This window comes from Homo sapiens, chromosome 4 (assembly GCF_000001405.40).
Source record: "Homo sapiens chromosome 4, GRCh38.p14 Primary Assembly".
NCBI classification, from domain to species: Eukaryota; Metazoa; Chordata; class Mammalia; order Primates; family Hominidae; genus Homo; species Homo sapiens.
The window spans coordinates 23751006-23769077 of NC_000004.12; the positions used below are offsets into that span (position 1 = coordinate 23751006).

At 39.2% G+C, this 18072-nt stretch overlaps 2 long non-coding RNA genes across 3 annotated transcripts in view; one reads left to right on the forward strand and one right to left on the reverse strand.

The window, feature by feature from the left end:
• LOC105374528 (uncharacterized) overlaps positions 1–18042 on the forward strand; it is a 50374-nt gene extending 32332 nt beyond the window's left edge. For both annotated transcript variants that reach the window (XR_925476.3, XR_925477.3), the window contains 2 exons: positions 7357–7455; positions 17314–18042. This is a non-coding gene — a long non-coding RNA (uncharacterized LOC105374528). The remainder of the gene's footprint in view (positions 1–7356; positions 7456–17313) is intronic.
• On the reverse strand, positions 6324–7634 carry LOC124900680 (uncharacterized). The gene is made up of 2 exons (XR_007058076.1): positions 7497–7634; positions 6324–6581 (listed from the first exon to the last, which is right to left on the reverse strand). It is a non-coding gene; the product is annotated as an uncharacterized LOC124900680 (long non-coding RNA).
• Positions 18043–18072: the final 30 nt, after the last annotated feature.

Sequence of the window (18072 nt, forward strand, 5' to 3'; positions counted from 1 at the left end):
CTCCCAGAATCTTTGGCTTCCTGTTAGAGTCAACCAATGGGGAGCACTGGCTAGAAACCAAGGAAAGGGAAAAAGAAGAAATCGTGTAGTTTTCCTCACTCTCCTCATTAAGTCATTGTGCTTGACTGGCTATATTCTCATTAGAAGATGAAAGGGCCTATCTTCACCTTATATTTTTCCCTTTGCTTCCAGTAACTGTTCTCTCTCTCTGCTCCTTTATTCCTAGAAATGTTAATGTGTGCTGCCCACCCCCACATTCATAGTCCCTGGTTATTTCTCTCTATTCTTTGTGGTTTCCTATATCTTTGAAGGCACTTTCTCTATTAAACACTCTTAAAATTACTTGATTTGTGTATGTCATCATTTATTTGCTAGGACTCTGACAGAAAGAAACTCTTGTTTAACCATATGTATAATGTAAACAAAATTATATTTAGCAAATTCAAATTGTATGTAAATGAAATTCCCATTTTAATTTCCAATTATTCCTCCCTAAGAAATTGATGAAAACCCCTAGCTGACAGTGAGTGGGTTCAATCTAGTATAGATTTCGTTCTATTGGCAGTGGCTGTATTTGGCTAACCCTCAATTCATGAGAATTGAGCTGCTCTTGTCCCATAGCAGTCTGCATTATGTTGTTCTGTTCTTATATCCAGGACATTTTTATATCCAAGTTCATTTTTCTCAAATGTTGGGCTATCTGCTTATTTAGCTATGCTATTTCTAAAATTTGTTATCCCTTCAATATATTTTTGCAAAGTTCTACCCGGGTGTTATTTTACCCTGGCAATGCCTTTATCCCCACCTCTCTCCCTATATTCTTCCTCTCCCTTTCCTTCCTCCCCTTTCCTCTCATTACTCTGTAATTGCACAGAGGAGTGATGGGAGAGCATTTCATTCTGCCTCTCTCGTGGAAGGGGTAACTTTCTTATTGGGAACTAAGGTCAAAGGAATCATGCCCCCTGTTTAACAGTGGCTGTAGCTTCTTAGAGGTGTTATTATTAAACTGTCATATGCGTGATTTCAGATGGTTTCACTACAATCTTCCTGCTACTGATTTTATGTAGGAATTCTTTACAGAGTATGTCAGCTGTTAACAACATACTGCCCTTGAAGCATTTTAACATAATAGATATCTGAGGCTAAGAAGAAACAGTATGGTCCATGAGGCACCCTATCATCACCATAATCAACAACATTTTGAAGACACCTTATTTTGGGGAGACAAGGTTTTGAATCACGTCTTGGTACCACAGGCACTCTTGGGGTGGATTTTTCCATTTTTATGATAAGCAAAACCTACTTTTGGCCAGGCATGGTGGCTCACACCTGTAATCCCAGCACTTTGGGAGGCTGACACAGGCAGATCACTTGAGGTCAGGAGTTCGAGACCAGCCTGGCCAACATGGCAAAACCCCATCTCTGGTGAAAATACAAAAATTAGCCGGGCATTTTGGCTCACACCTGTAATCTCAGCTACTAGGGAAGCTGAGTCAGGAGGATTGCTTGAGCCTACAAGGCAGAGTTTGCAGTGAGCTGTGATTGTGCTACTTCACTCCAGCCTGGGCGACAGAGTGGGACTCTGTCTCAAAACAAACAAACAAACAAAAAATACTCTTTTAGAGACTATGACTCAGAGCCTTCTTTCTTTTCTTGAGTGGAGGCCATTCAACTCAACTCTATGAAATTCATTGTGATTTCCCTTAATTACAACCCCAAAATATATCTGAAACACTATGGTGCTTGGTACTGTAAGAGATTAAATAATGACTAAGTTGCTATCATGTTATTCTTAGTACATTTCCAGTCTCAATTTCACTTATTCTTGCTCCAGTCTCAATTTCACTTCTTGTTTATCATTCATGTTTGTTTCTCCCCCATGTGCTCAGGTCCTTCAAGTTGTTCCCTGGTTGGCCAAAGCCTGATAGTTCTGTGTCCTATCCTTGGTTGGACCTCACGAAGCTAAAGCTCTTTTTTCATTATTTTTAAGAAAATAGTCCTACTCTCCATGCATTCCAAGGAAGACATGCCTTAATCAGTGTACAAGATCTAATAAACTCATTTCCACTATTTTTCTCTAAGGCAAAATAGGAACTGGTAAGAACTAACTTGATTATCTCTCCCTGGAGCCAAGTTTGTGTTTCAGTATAATTCTATGGGGCAATGGAGTCTGTTACTAATAAAACTCAAAGTTTCAATGGAAAATAAGTTGGGAAAAAGACCCTAGATAGGAAGGGCCCAGATGTTTTCCATTGATTTTCATCTTGCCAGTAGGGTTCTTTCTCCCACTGTTACCACATGGAGATTCTCTTTCCAGAGTTCTTCTCAGTGAAAACCTTAGATGGTTCTGTGCTTTGCATCTGTAATTGTGGGATTGGCTATATCAAAGAGAATAAACTCGATGTGAAAGGTGATGCTGAGAAAAAAAAGAATCCAAAACCATTTATGCAACTGTCCTATCATTCTCCTTCTGGAGCACTTTTTTGTAGTGCTTTGGGCTCTATTTTCTCCTGCATGTATTGAGGCATATAATTTGCATATAATAAAATATACTCTTTTAGATGAACATTTCTATGCATTTTGATAAACTTTTGTAGTCAAGTAACCACCAAAAGTCAAGATGTACGATATTTCTATCACTACCCTTCGCCCCACACACTGCCAAATTTCTCTGTGTTCCTTTGTAGGCGATACACTTTCCTCACTCCCAGACCCTAGCAACCTCTGATCTGAAGTCTTTCCCTTTAGTTTGCCTTCTTTGAATGCTATGTAAGAGGAATCATACAGTCTTGTAGCCTTTTGAGTCTTACTTTTTTCACTTAGCGTAATATGCTATTCTGTTTCATGCTTTAGAACTTCATTTCTCTTTTTATTGCTGAGTGGTGTTTTACACTTTGTTTAATCATTCACAAGCTGGCAATTATTGGCATTGTTTCAAGTTTGTGACAATTATAAATAAAGTCACTATTAAAATCCACATACAGTTTTCTGTGTAGACATGTATCTTCACTTCTCTTTGGTAAACACCAAGGAATGCATTGATGAGATGTGTGGTAAATTATGTTTAACTTCATAAGAAACTACCAAACTGTTTTATAAAGAGCTGTGTCATTTTGAATTTGTACCAGCAATATATTAGCATTCCAGTTCCCCAACATCATCTCTAACATTTGGTACTGTCACTTTTTTTTTTTTCAATTTAAGCCATTCTAATAATTGGGTAGTGGTATTTCTTTGTGGTTGTAATCTGCATTTCTTTAATGGTTAACACTGTTGTATATCTTTTCATGTGACCGTTTGTCATCCATATATCTTCTGTAGTGAACTGTCAGTTCAAATATGGAAACTATTTGGAGTTGTTTGTTTCATTATTATTGAGTTTCAAGAGTTATCTATATATTCTGGCTATTAACCCTTTTTCATGTGTGTGTATGTGTATGTGAATTCAAGTAGCTCCCTTACAAATATGCAAACCAAAAGAAAGAATCATATCATAATTGTCTTACCAGATTTTGAGTATTATTCAACAGCAGCTATTATACTCCTCCTTCGATCGTTGTAATCTTAAAATTTTAGATTAAAAAACAACTGCTTTGAAAGTTGTGTGAAAACTAAGGACTCTGTATAAATGCATATATATATGGGTATACATATACACACATAAATATATGCATATATGTATATATACACATAAATATATAAACATATATATTTATGTGTGTGTATATATATAGACACACATATATACACATATATATTTATATATGTGTATACATACACACACAGAGTGAGAGTAAGAGTGCACCAGAGAGAGACAAATTGTCGCATTCCTTTCTAGGAGTCCACAAGATAACTACTCCTCAGGTGTTATATAAACTATGAATCATGAACCTCAGGTTAGAAACTCAAGTGTGACCCCATAAATGCCATCTTGCATCACTATAATTATCTGCCTTCTTTATCTTAGTTTGACACACACTATTTCCTGATGCTGAAAAAAATCACACAACTGTGCAAACTAATACACAGTAGATACATTTTCATTCATTTTAGTAAGGTCTGCACAGCTACACAATAATTTTGTTTATCACTCCGCTTACTTCCATGTTTAATTCCCAGAGAAGCCAGTCAACAGTCACCATTTACAAGTTCTCTTTATCACCTCTGTCCCCTTCACTTTCAGAAGATAATCTTGATACCTTCTTGCTGGAGAAATAGAATAAATCAAGTGTGAATGAATTCCCCATTTAATTCAAACTTAGGCCTGTACCGATCCTTTCTTCCTTCTAATCTCAGACAGAGATGTGACTCTCTTTCAGGCAATGCTAATTCTTTCATCTGGGCTCTCGATACCATTTTATCCTAAGCCTTGTTTCAGGAAACATCTCCTCCCCCTGTATTATTAATGTTTCCCTCTTAAATCACTGTTTATTCTCAAGATGTGATCATGTTTATCTTTTACCATATTAAAAAAAAACTCCCTCCACTGTGTAGCTCACTTCTCATTTCTCCTCCTTCTTTACCCCACCTATTTCTCGTCTATTACAACCAAGGTTTTTAGAACATGTTACTCTTACTGGCTCTAATGACTCTAATTTTCAATCCAGTACCAACTCCGTGGTAACCCCAAGGCTCCATTAAAATCATTATAAGTAATAAATAACTTAACAAATAGTCTAATTACAAAACAAATGAACTGATTATTTTTTACCCTTATAATACCTGACCTCTTGGAAATATTTGATATTGTTGACTATTTCCTGAAATGTATTCTGTTCTTGTCTCCTATAGCAACACTCTCTCCAAACTACTCTATTAGTGTCCACACATTTGTTGTGGTTCTCCTTGACCTCTTCACCAACCACTATGTTGGTGATACTCAGGCCTCTTTGTTGAGACCATTTTATTATCAGTTTACCTAATGCTCCTGGGTGACTGAACTATGATTTAATCATCTATAGATAGATAACTAAACTACCATCTCTCTATAAATTATAAGTCACAACTCTGGACTTCATACCAGTTCACTTTTAGGAGTTCTTCTCATAAGCCCCTCAAGTCCATCCTGTTCCAAATAGATGTCATCATTGTCACCTTTCCCAAACTATTCTCCAAACTTGTTTCTCCCCGTTATTTCTATCTCTGTGATTATTCCTATCATTTTCCTTATCGTCCAGTAAGAAGCCTGAGAATCTCACTTCCCATTTCTGAGGAGTCATTTAATCATTCATACATTCATCAATGCAAAAAATAGTTATTGAATGGATACCCTATGCCAGTCACTCTGATAACATTTTGCTAAGTGGAATCTTCTCTTAGCTTTCAAACTGCTTAAAATTTAATGTTGCAGAGGCAACATGCTATATTCGATAAGAGCTTAAGGAGGTGGTATCTTAGTCAGACTGCGGTGGAAGAGTCAGAGAGAACTTACCAGGGGCAACCCTTGAATTGCATGATAAAGGATGAATGGCTTGGCTAAAGAAAGGAGGAAATAATAATCCAAGAAGGAAGAGCATATTTCAAACCTTTGCAATGCAGTTCTACCTCCTAAACCACTCATAATCATTTCACTTTCTCTCCAGATATATGGTCAGAAACTTACATACAGCAGGTCTACCATATTTCTCATACTTTTAATGCAATTAAAAAGTCTTCCTAACAGGTCTCGTTGGCCTCTAATATTACCATCCTCCAATCCATCTTCTACACTGGTGCTAGAGTGATCTTTCTGGAGTACCAGCCTGAGCATATCTCTCTCCTACCTAAAATGAATCAGTAGCCCCCAATTTTTTTTTTATTTGCATCAAAAGACATAATGATTTAGCCCCTTGCTAGCCTGGCAGGTTCAATGAATGACCATCATCCGGCACATTATTGATCATTCAGCTTACTGGATATGCTAATGTTCTCATCAGCTTTTGATCCTTTGCATGTGTTGGTTCTTCCTTTTAGGAATTGATTTTTTCCTTTTGTTAGACTGATAGCCACTTAACACTTCATCAGGCTCAGTTATGAGCTCTTCTTATAAGTCCCCCTTCTTATAAAAACTCATAAACTGAGTTCTTCTCAGTTATGAGTCTTGATGAAGTGTAAGTGGTTATCAGTCTAACAAAATATATTAGTCTATCCCTTTAGATGCTCAGGTAAACAAACATTACTTCCTTTATGTTCCATAGCAATTTATGCATACATTTATTATGCCATATATTACATCATATTATAACCATTTATGTCTCTATTTCCCCAGAGTTTCTTGAGGAAAATAAATATATCTTTATTCATCTCCATATCCTCAATACTCAACATAGTCCATGATATATTTATAAGCTGTTCAAAATATTTATTGAGTGAACATGAATTAATGAATTAATATTAGGTAGTTCCATTGATTAATGAGAGGGATTTTTGCTGTGAAGCTGAGAACTTTTCTTTTCTATTACCCTAAAGAGTTAACAATTATTTACCAAGCTCTTACTATACTGCAGTCATGGTGCTAGATGCCGATGATTTAAAAGTGAGAAATGCAGTCCTTGCTTTCAAGAGGCTTATGTTCTATCAGGGAAGACAGACTGAACAGGCAACTACAAAACAGAATTGTTAAGAGATGTGATAAGGAAAATAAAGAGAACTATGGGCTTCTGAATAATTAGGGAAAAAAAAAAACCAGAGTAAATGAGGGTTAAGCTGAGACCTGAAGAATAGAAAGGGATGACTATTCTAGAGAGCCAGAATTATATGTGAAAGTCCTGGATGAAAGGAATGGCACAGCCTATCCAGGGAACTTATAGAAAATCAGTCTGGATAAACCACAGTAATCTATGGAGAGTTAATCAGAGGTAAGATTATGAAGGGCTCAAATAGTTCCCAAGGCTTAAAAACAGGGGACAGAAAAGGGGAGATTATATTTTTAAAATTCCACTAGCTGCAGGTTAGAGAGTGTGTTGCAGGATGGCAGAAGTGATAGTGGAAGTTTATTCCAATCATCCGGGCAGAAGCTAATGGTGGTATCACAGGAACTCTATCTTCTCCACCATCCTTTAAGAAAGTGCTTTGTGATGATGGAGCGAGAAAAAAAGCCATTATGTACTGAAGGGCCTCTAACACCCTGCATTCTTCCCTGGGAAATGATGAGAAAGCAATGGCATGAGAGCCATAACTTAATGGCAAGAAAGAGCTTCTATATCTGGCTTTATCTGTATGCCAGTTTAAATGTGATGTAACTCTTTATAAGACAAGGCATGAGGTGCTTAGGCTCAGAAATGATGAGAGATTGGGAATTAGGCCTGAGCCAGATAGAAATAAGAGTATGTTACAGAATAGATCATGAAACAACAACAATAAAAGTATCTTCCACAGGCAAGAAAAACCTGCTCTTGATAGTCTGCTGAATAGTGACTGAGATGACTGGCAGTAAAATAGGAGACTTTTCAAGTGGATGAAAGTTAAATTCAATAGGTAGGAAATATAATTTGAAAAAGGAGCTTCTATTCATGTACTTTCTGGCTGTGAAACAGATTTTAAAATGAGGCTTCTCTGGTTCTACATCACTGCCTAGCATGGGCACCCAGGCTGAGTCCAGATTGTCCCCAGTTGTTGCTGTCATTTTGCTTTCTTAGAATCTGGCTCCAAGGCTTCCTTCCCTTTAAAAAAAAAAAAAAAAAAAAAGTCACGTGAACCAGAAAGTAGAATTTGAGTGGCTGGAAATATTTTCTACCATACATTTCTTTCAAAATAAACAACTACTGTAGGGAAGAGCTCCCCTAAAGCTCCCCGCTGCGTTCCTTATTTCAGTGCCTCCCAGTGGAGCTTCCGTTTGGTTCCATAACTGGAGGAAAATAATTCAAGTGTAAACCAAGCCCCCTGGTGCTCTAATACAACCCATCCTTTGCTGTAAATATTGTGCTTATTTCATTAAAATGAGAGGTTCTCTTGTCCTGTATTATGAAATATGAAAATGTATATTTGCAGGCACAGGCTTCCCGTAAGCCCCCAGTCACTCATTTAGATGTTACAAACATGGCATGAAATCTTAATTCAGTGATATTTACTCCAGATGAATAGCAATATAGGCATTATAGTACACAATCCATAAGGAAGGCCCATGACAAGTTCTGCTTGACTTGACTTCCTAGACATCTCTCCATCCCATCCACCGTTATCTATCCTAATGGCCAGTGCCAAAGTTCAAGTCATTACTATTTCTTCCCTGGTGACTGTAACTGACTGATCCCAGATGACTTTGCCTACAGTTTTGCCCCATCCGGTCTGTCCTCCACACTGTGGCCAGAGTGATACTTCTGGAATGCAAAATGAATAAATCATGTCACTCATCTATTTAACACTTATCAAAGGCTTCTTGGTGCCATTAAGTTAAAGCCCAAGCCCTTCAGAATGCCCTTTGCAGCTGGGCATTCTGCCTTTTTTTTTCCCTTAATCTCTCATCCTTTTGTCTTTCCCACTTGATGTTCCAGTTAGGAAATGTGTACCTTTCTAGTTCTTGAACATAGTTTTACCCCTGCTCAGCGAGCTCTTAGTGACCATTTGTTTTTCACTTTAGATATTTTTCTTAAAGTCTGTTCTGCCTCTTGATAAACAACATTAAGTGCCCTTTCAATGAAGTCACATTGTATCTTGCATATTATTGTTGTACCTCACACTTGATCACAAATGATGATTTATTAACTGATTTTTTTCTGCTGAACTGTGAACTTCCAAAGAAGAAAGTTTGTCAGTGTTGTTCACCATTGTATTCCCAGCACCTAGCATAAAAATGTGCATATCAATGTGTTAAATTAGTTAATTAAATCAGTGAATGGATGGATGGATGCATGGATGGATGGATGACAGTGAGTCAGAAAAAGAGTGTATTAGTCTATTTTCATACTGCTATAAAGAAATGGCTGAGACTGGGTAATTTATATAGAAAAGAGGTTTAATGGACTCACAGTTCCACATTGCTGAGGATGTTTTACAATCATGGTGGAGGATGAAGGAGGAGCAAACGCACGTTTTACATGGCAGCAGGCAAGAGAGCATGTTCAGGGGAACTGCCCTTTAAAAACCATCAGATGTCATGAGACTTATTCACTACCATGAGAACAGCACGGGGAAACGCATTCCCATGATTCAATGACCTCCCACAGGGTCCCTCCCATGACACTTGGGGATTATGGGAGCTAAAATTTGAGATGAGATTTGGATGAGGACACAGCCATACCATATTATTCTGCCCCTGGCCCCTCCCAAATCTCATGTCCTCACATTTCAAAACATAATCATGCCTTTCCAATGGTCCCCCAAAGTCTTAACTCATTTCAGCATTAACTCAAAAGTCCACAGTTCAAAGTCTCATCTGAGATAAGGCAAGTCACTTCTGCCTATGAGCCTATAAAATCAAAAGTAAGTTAGTTACTTCTTAGATACAATGGGGGTACAGTCATTTGGTAAATACAACTCTTCCAAACAGGAGAATTTGACCAAAATGAAGGGGCTACACACTCCATGAAAGTCCCAAATCCAGCAGGGCAATCAAATCTTAAAGCACCAAAATTATCTCCTTTGACTCCATGTCTCACATCCAGGTCATGCTGATGCAAGAGGTGGGTTCCCACAGCCTTGGGCAGCTCCTCCCCTGTGGCACAGCCCCCATCCTGGTTGCCTTCAAGGGCTGATGTTGAGTGTCTGTGACTTTTCCAGGTACACGGTGCAAGCTATCAGTGGATCTACCATTCTGGGGTCTGGAGGACTGTGTCAAAGGGAAATCTTCCCACTGGGCAGAACTTTGAGCAGTGTAACTGGTTGTGCACTTTTCATGGAAGGAGAAATGGCCAGATGTGCAATTATATACTAATTCATGAGCTGTAGCCAATGGTTTGGCTGGGTGGTCAGGGACTTGGAAGAAGCATAGTTGGATAACTGGTGACAAAGAAATTTGGGGAAGAGGTATGTGAATTGACCTCTCTGAGTGGTCAAAAACTGGGAAGACATTTGTATCCCATGTGAATATTCACCAATGGGTGACCTTAGTAGAGGAGGATTTTAATAATCAAGTGGATAGGATGACTTGTTCTGTGGACACCACTCAGCCTCTTTCCCCAGCCACCCCTATCATTCCAAATAGGCCCATGAACAAAGTGACCATGGTAGCAGGAATGGAGGTTATGCATGTGGTCAGCAACATGGACTTTTACTCACCAAGGCTGACCTGGCTACAGCCACTGCTGAGTGCCCAATTTGCCAGCAGCAGAGACCAACACTGAGCCCTCGATATGGCACCATTCCTTGCGGTGATCAGACAGCTACTTGGGGGCAGGTTGATTATATTGGACCTCTTCCATCATGGAAAGGACAGTGGTTTATCCTCACTGGAATAGACACTTACTGTGAATATGGGTTTGCCTATCCTACATGCAATGCTTCTGCCAAGACTACCATCCATGGACTCAAAGAATGCCTTATCTACCATCATGGAATTCCACACAGCATTGCCTCTGACCAAGGCACTCAGGTTATAGCTAAAGTAGTGTGGCAGTAGGCTCATTCTCATGAAATTCACTAGTTTTACCATGTTCCCCATCATCCTGAAGCAGCTGGATTGATGGAACTGTGGAATGGCCCATTGAAGTCACAATTACAACATCAACTAGGTGACAATACTTTGCAGGGCTGGGGCAAAGTTCTCCAGAAGGCTGTGTATTCTCTGAATCAGCATCCAATATATGGTACCGTTTGTCCCATAACCTGGATTCATGGGTCCAGAATCATGGGGTGGAAGTGGAAGTGGCACCACTCACCATCACCCCTATGACCCATTAGCAAAAATTTTGCTTCCTCTTCCTGCGACATTAGGTTCTGCAGGCCTAGAGGTCTTAGTTCTAGAAAGAGGAATGCTGCCACCAGGAGACACAACAATGATTCCATTAAACTGGAAGTTAAGATTGCCACTGGCCACTTTGGGCTCCTCCTACCTCTAAGTCAATGGCCAAGAAGGGAGTTACAGTGCTGGTTGGGGTGATTGACCCAGATTATCAAGATAAAAGCAGTCTACTACTCCACAATGGAGGTAAGGAAGAGTATGTGTAGAATACAGGAGATCCCCTAGGGTGTCTCTTAGTATTACCATGCCCTGTAATTAAGATCAATGAAAACCTACAACAACCCAATCCAGGCAGGATTACAAATGGCCCAGACTCTTTGGGAATAAAGGTTTGGGTCACTCCACCAGGTAAAAAACCACGACCTGCTGAGGTGTTTGCTGAAGGCAAAGGAAATGGGTAGAAGAAGGGTAGTAGAAGAAGGTAATCATCAATACCAGCTATGACTACAGAATGGGTAGTAGAAGGTAGTCATCAATACCAGCTATGACCACATGACCAGTTGCAGAAACGAGGAATGTAATTGTCATGAGTATTTCCTCTTTATTTTGTTAAGAACTTATTCGTGCACGTATACAATTATATTAAGAAAAGTCTTCATTTTATTTCCTTTCTTTTGCCTTTATCATGTGACATAAGATTTATTGACTTCATATCAACGTTTAAGTGTTGTTAACTTTATGTAATAGCACTTAGGTTAAGGATTAGTGCACTTCCAGTTGTACAAAGGAAAGCTGTATAATGTTAGGCATAATTATGACCTTATTATTGTTTTTATTTGAAGATTATGTATTATTTCAGGAAGTGTGTATGGGTTGAAGTTGACAAGGGGTGGATTTGTGATGGCTAATATTGAGCGTCAACTTGATTAGACTGAAGGACACAAAGTATTGTACTTGGGTGTGTCTGAGATGGTGTTGCCAAAGGAGATTAACATTTGATTCAGTGGACTTGGAGAGGCAGACCCACCCTTAATCTGGGTGGGCACCATCTAATCAGCTGCCAGTGTGGCTAGAATAAAGCAGGCAGAAGAAAGTGGAAGGACTTGACTTGCGGAGTTTTCCAGGCTTCATCTTTTCTCCTTTGCTGGATGCTTCCTGCCCTCGAACATCAGACTCCAAGTTCTTCAGCTTTTGGAGTCTTGGACTTACTGGTGGTTAACAAGGGGTTATCAGGCCTTCAGCCACAGATTGAAGGCTGCACTGTCAGCTTGTCTACTTTTGAGGTTTTGGGACTCAGACTGGTTCCTTGCTCCTCCGCTTGCAGACAGCCTATTGTGGGACTTCACCTTGTGATCATGTGAGTCAGTACTCCTTAATACACTCCCCTTTCTATATGCATCTATCCTGTTAGTTCTGTCCCTCTAGAGAACCCTGACTAATATGGGGTTAATAAACTGTACAGTTTGTACAAAGAATGTAAAGGAAGAGGATGGAAACTTGTATCCTCTCTATGAAGTGAGGATGATTAAAACAAAAAAAAAACCCTCATATTATTATGAAAGTTAAATGAGATACTTATTATATGTAGTGCACTAAAAACTGTGTCTGGCATATTGTAAGCACTCCCTCCAACAATCTCAGCTATTGTTAATAATCATAATGTCATATTCTCAAAAATATGACAATAAATGGATAAAAATTAAAAATTAAAAAACAGTGTGCTAGTAAAATCCGGAAAAGTTCTTGCTGATATCTCTGTCTTGGCCTTAATGATAAAAAGGCTTTGAGACTTTCTGACAGTGCCCAGCATCTGTGGTCCTAACTAACTCATTGGCATTCAGCAGGTAGTAATAGAGTACAATGGAGCACTTTCTGCCCTAGGATCAAAGTTCAAGCCTTATTACTAGAGTTGTTTCTGCCAACTTTCTAACCTCTTCAACTCTGGACCCTGCCTGTGTTCTGAGGCCCGTGGCACCTTTTTGCTCCCCCCTTGCTTTTGCTGACCTTCTAGTCGTTGGTCCCTTGCCCGCCTACACTGGTGGTACTTGATTAAATGGGCTTCTGCTTCTCACCTTTCCTTGTCTGGCTTGTATAGAAGATGGGTCAATGGCTTAAGGGCCTGCCCCTGGTCAGAGCACTGTGCCAAGACACACAGGAGAGGAATGCCACAGTGATTAGTCCACATTAGCATAATTATCTCCTGAATCCACTTTCTACCAATTCATACTTTGTCTCTAACCAATCTATTTTTTTTTTTTTTTTTTTTTTTTTTTTGAGATGGAGTCTTGCTCTATCGCCCAGGCTGGAGTGCGGTGGCGCTATGTCGGCTCACTGCAAGCTCCGCCTCCCTGGTTCATGCCATTCTCCTGCCTCAGCCTCCTCAGTAGCTGGGATTACAGGCACCCGCCACCACGCCCAGCTACTTTTTTTGTATTTTTTAGTAGAGACAGGGTTTCGCCGTGTTAGCCAGGGTGGTCTCGATCTCCTGACCTCATGATCCACCTGCCTCGGCCTCCTAAAGTGCTAAGATTACAGGAGTGAGCCACCGCGCCCGGCCTAACCAATCTATTTTTTAACCTTCTCTTTATTTTTTATAACTTTCTTATAAGTAAGTGGCATTTACAACTTGATGTTGTCCTTTTTAAGGCTTTGATTAGCATTTTCCTAATGTGACATTTTCTCGGAAAATGTTTGCCTTTGTCCCAGGATCCCCCATACTAAGGAACATACTTCTCTGCTGCCCTGAGTATAAGCCAGAGTTGATATATGAAATATTTCATATTTATTAATACCTGGTAAGGTGGAGGCAATGAAGAATCAAATGAATGTTGGCAACAAGGCTGGAGATGGATCCTTGAAGGCCCCTAAACTTTGACAAGCATTAAACCTTTAGTAGTGAGATCTTAGGGTACAGATTGCTAGTTTGGGTAAGCAGCTACCTACCATGAAGTGTAAAAACATTCCAATATTTAACATCTGCTCCTTAACAAAGAATTTCTCCAATAATGTCTTCCAATACAAGCCTATATTTTTCATATCTCCACAAGGTGTTGTCCATTAGACTAATCCCTAAACTTAGGCACTAGGATACAGCACGTCTCACAATTAGAGACTATGCCTACACATGTACTGGCTCTTAATTATCCCATGTGGAAATTATCAGAAGCAAAATGACTCCCAGAATTACTATATTTTTGAGGGGATGATGTTGCTCAAGAAACCCAGACTTTGACTGTTAACCCCCTAAGCCCTTGAACCTATGTGAATAAGAAATAAACTAGGAAAGTTGTACGTTCCTCAGAAGAGCATCTTCTCCAAGCTTACTTCAGGTGTGGCCATCTGCATAATTAGCATATTTATCTCCCTAATCCTCCCAGATTCTAGGGATCCTCCTAGAAAAGACAGGGATGGGCAGATTGTCTAATAAAGGAATTTACTCCACTGCCAGGGCTAAGTCTTTGCTGTTTAATGTGTGTGTTATAGGCCAGTAATTTGTAAGTAATTCCCGTTGTTCCTTTTCCCAAGATGGAGATTTCATTGTAGGTATCCTGTTCCCTCACAAATTTTTTTTTTTTTTTTTTTTTTTGAGATGGGATCTCGTCTCATTCTGTCGCCCAGGCTGGAGTGCAGTGGTGCGATCTCAGCTCACTGCAACTTCTGCCTCCCAGGTTCAAGCGATTCTGCTGCTTCAGCCTCCACAGTAGCTGGGATTATAGGTGTGTGCCACCATGCCCAGCTAATTTTTGTATTTTTAGTAGAGACGGGTTTTCTTCATGTTGGCCAGGCTGGTCTCAAACTCCTCACCTCAGGTGATCCACCTGTCTCAGCCTCCCAAAGTGCTGGGATTACAGGCGTGAGCCACTGCACCTGGCCGGCTCACCAACACTTTATGCAGGATAAAGGGAACAGATAACTTGTTTTTTAGCTATTAGTCACTAGACCAGAACATCCACATCTGGATCTGATAGTGAGCAATACTGCACTTAAAGCTAGATCCTAAAATAAATACTATTATGTGTGGTTATTTTCCATGGAATAAAGATGAATAGCCTCTGTTAAAACATATCTATAGGAAGAAGGATATGTATGGATAGCCACTAGGCTAAGAGGTACACCGTAACAGAGACTATTGGTAATACCCTTCCTCCTTGTCTCATCCACCACAGAGGGCAGTAAAGGTAAATATATATTTTCCCAGCTGCTTCTGCAACCGGTGTTAGCCATATGACATGCTTCTAAATAAGAACATATAAAGGTCAGAGGTCATATGTGAAAGTTTTACTTTACTTTACTGACAAAAGGGGATGCCACTGGTTCTTTACCTTACCCCATTTTTCATTACATAAAAGTGGACATGAAACTTGGTGATGTGGCATCCCTCTGATAACCATGAGAAAAACCCCAAGAGAGTTGAAGAGTTGCAAATCCTGACACTATTACACTACTGAACACATCAGCAATAATCAATCTATCTCCTGATTTCTGTGATATGATAAACAGTTATTCATATTGCTTTAAACCACTGTGAACTGGGTTTGCTGTTGTTTGCTGTTGAAAGCATCCTTAACAGAGTCTTTGTAATGTAGTTGAAGTCTTTAGTATCACTGCTCTGGTAAAATCAACAGTGAATTTTGCACTGAATATCTTATTCTTTTCTTAGGTCAAAGTCTCTTGTTTCTTCACAGTCCATGTGGGATATACGCTATCTGCCGTGAAATCTGTCAGGGTGCAGTTTTGCAATAGTCCCAACTGGGCAAACAACAATACAAGGGCCAGATGGCTATCATGATACATCAATCTTCCCAGAAGTAAATTTTATAATACCAGATTTAGAAACAACAACAACAGCAAAAAACAGAATAAAATGAAATTAACTATGAAGTAATAATTAGACATGAATAAACAAAAAAATCATAGCACTTAATGCTAGCACTTGCAAGTACGATGCCCACAAGACATTGCTGATAATTATAGCATTATTTCTCACAGATACCACTGAATACTCGAGAATCCTTCCTAATGCAAAAAGTTCTAGGCAGCCACTACCAATCAGTTGGAGTTGGTATATGATGTAAAACATAACTGTATTTTTTTTTTTTTTTTTTTTGAGACAGAGTCTTGCTCTGTCGCCCAGGCTGGAGTGCAGTGGTGCGATCTCAGCTCACTGCAACTTCCACCTCCCGGGTTCACGCCATTCTCCTGCCTCAGCCTCCTGAGTAGCTGGGACTACAGGTGCCTGCCACCACGCTCGGCTAATTTTTTGGGTTTTTTTTTTGTTTTTTTAGTGGAGAGGGGGGTTTCACCATTTTAGCCAGGATGGTCTTGATCTCCTGACCTCGTGATCCAACCCCCTCGGCTTCCCAAAGTGCTGGGATTACAGGCGTGAGCTACCGCCTCTGGCCACATAACTGTATTTTTTAACAATTACTTACACACATTGTACAGGTATGGTTCATGATTCAAACACAAATCCATGCTGATCCGGGAATTGATAATATCTTTCTTTTTGTTGTTGCAGCGGGTGTTAGGGTACAAGGTACTGAGTGTTTTAGTCTTGTTTTCTACCCTCTTATTTCCCTTCAGTCCTAATTGACTTTGCCATTTCAAGACTACCTACTCAAGAAGACACACAGAATCTCATTGAATTTATTCAAAGCCTCATAGTTATGATACTTGTACTCATTACCATAGCCAGCAAACCATCAATGTCCTTTATATTGATAATTAATTGCTTTTATCTCTGTCCCTTTGTCTTTATAGCTGAACACTGAAACTTGGTCAAAACTATTCTTACTGTTATGTATAAAAAGATGACTCTACTCACCCTACACAAAAGGTTATTTATCTATCATTTTGGAGAAACTACAGCTGTCATTAGAAGGAATTTGCTTCTACATGTGACTTTTGAAACTCTGCCCCTCCCCTATCCAGGAAAATGGATCTTTGTTTGAGTGACCTTCCACTTATCACTTGAAATCTGTCTGGCAACTTACCTGAAAGGAGACTAATAAGGAGTGAATTATTAGGAGTTAATGCTTAACACTTTCTTGCCAAGTACATTAAATGTACTTATTTTATCTAGGCTATATTTAAAAAGGGCTAAAATATACCTCAGAAGATACCAAAATAAAGAGAGATGTTATCAGGAAACTCAGACAAATTGCTGTTTGGTGACTTGAAAGGAAAGAATTACATAGGAGAAGAGCAAATGAGAAGGTACAAAGAAAATGTAATATAGTTTGTGGGGAACAAAATAAAGCATAAAATTAAGTTTAATAACATTTTGGAAATAAACGTATGTACATAAAAAAAAAACTAAGAAAAAATGGGCTTCTAATTAAAGCCAAGCCAGAAGTAAAAAGAGAGAGTGTAAAAAATATAGAAAGGTTGACTTAAAATCAGCTGATGTCACGGAGAAAGAATGAGCACAGAAATCCCAGCTCCCCATGTTATAATGACATGAACTTGAAAAATAACCCTAAATTCTCTCATTGTAGGTGATGCTGTGAACCCTCCCCAAGGGAGGTACCAAAAGCCTGCATGAAGCAAAAACTGGAAACAAATAAAGGAGAGTATGGTGACTTTGCACTAAGTTACTCATTTATTCACATAATTAATGAGTTTCTATTAGTGTTAGGCACCGTTCTAGATGATGGTATAATTAGTTAACAAAAACCTCAAAACTCTCGCCCCCCATGGAGCTTACATTTCCAGGGAGGGAGAGAGATGATACAACAATAAGAAAATACAGAGCTAATGTCATTCTATATTGTATAATTATGTAAAATCAAGCCTGAGTATTTGACAGCTTCTCAGATACCACAGATCTGTTGTTTAATGAAATCAGCCTAAAAGATAAAATTGTGTATTTGCATGTACACATCACCTTGCCTGTATTATGAGTCAGCGTTTCTTCTTATAAGAAACCACAGCTTGGTAAAAGGTAGAAGCTCAATTTCCTAATAAAGAGATATGTTTTACTAGGCAGGCTGTTGCACTGCATATTACTCTCTCTGACCTTGGCTTTAGTCCAAGGAGGATTAAACCCAGAAAGAGAAGGGAGTAAAGCAAGGTGTAGCAGAAAAGCAAAACAAAACAATACAAAATAACCTCAAAGAAATTAGTAACAATAATTAGTGCATTCAGAGATTATATCTTTCTTTCTTTTTTTCCTTTTTTTTTTTCTTTCGAGACGGAGTTTTGCTCTTGTTGCCCAGGCTGGAGTGCAACGGCGCGATCTCAGCTCACGGCAACCT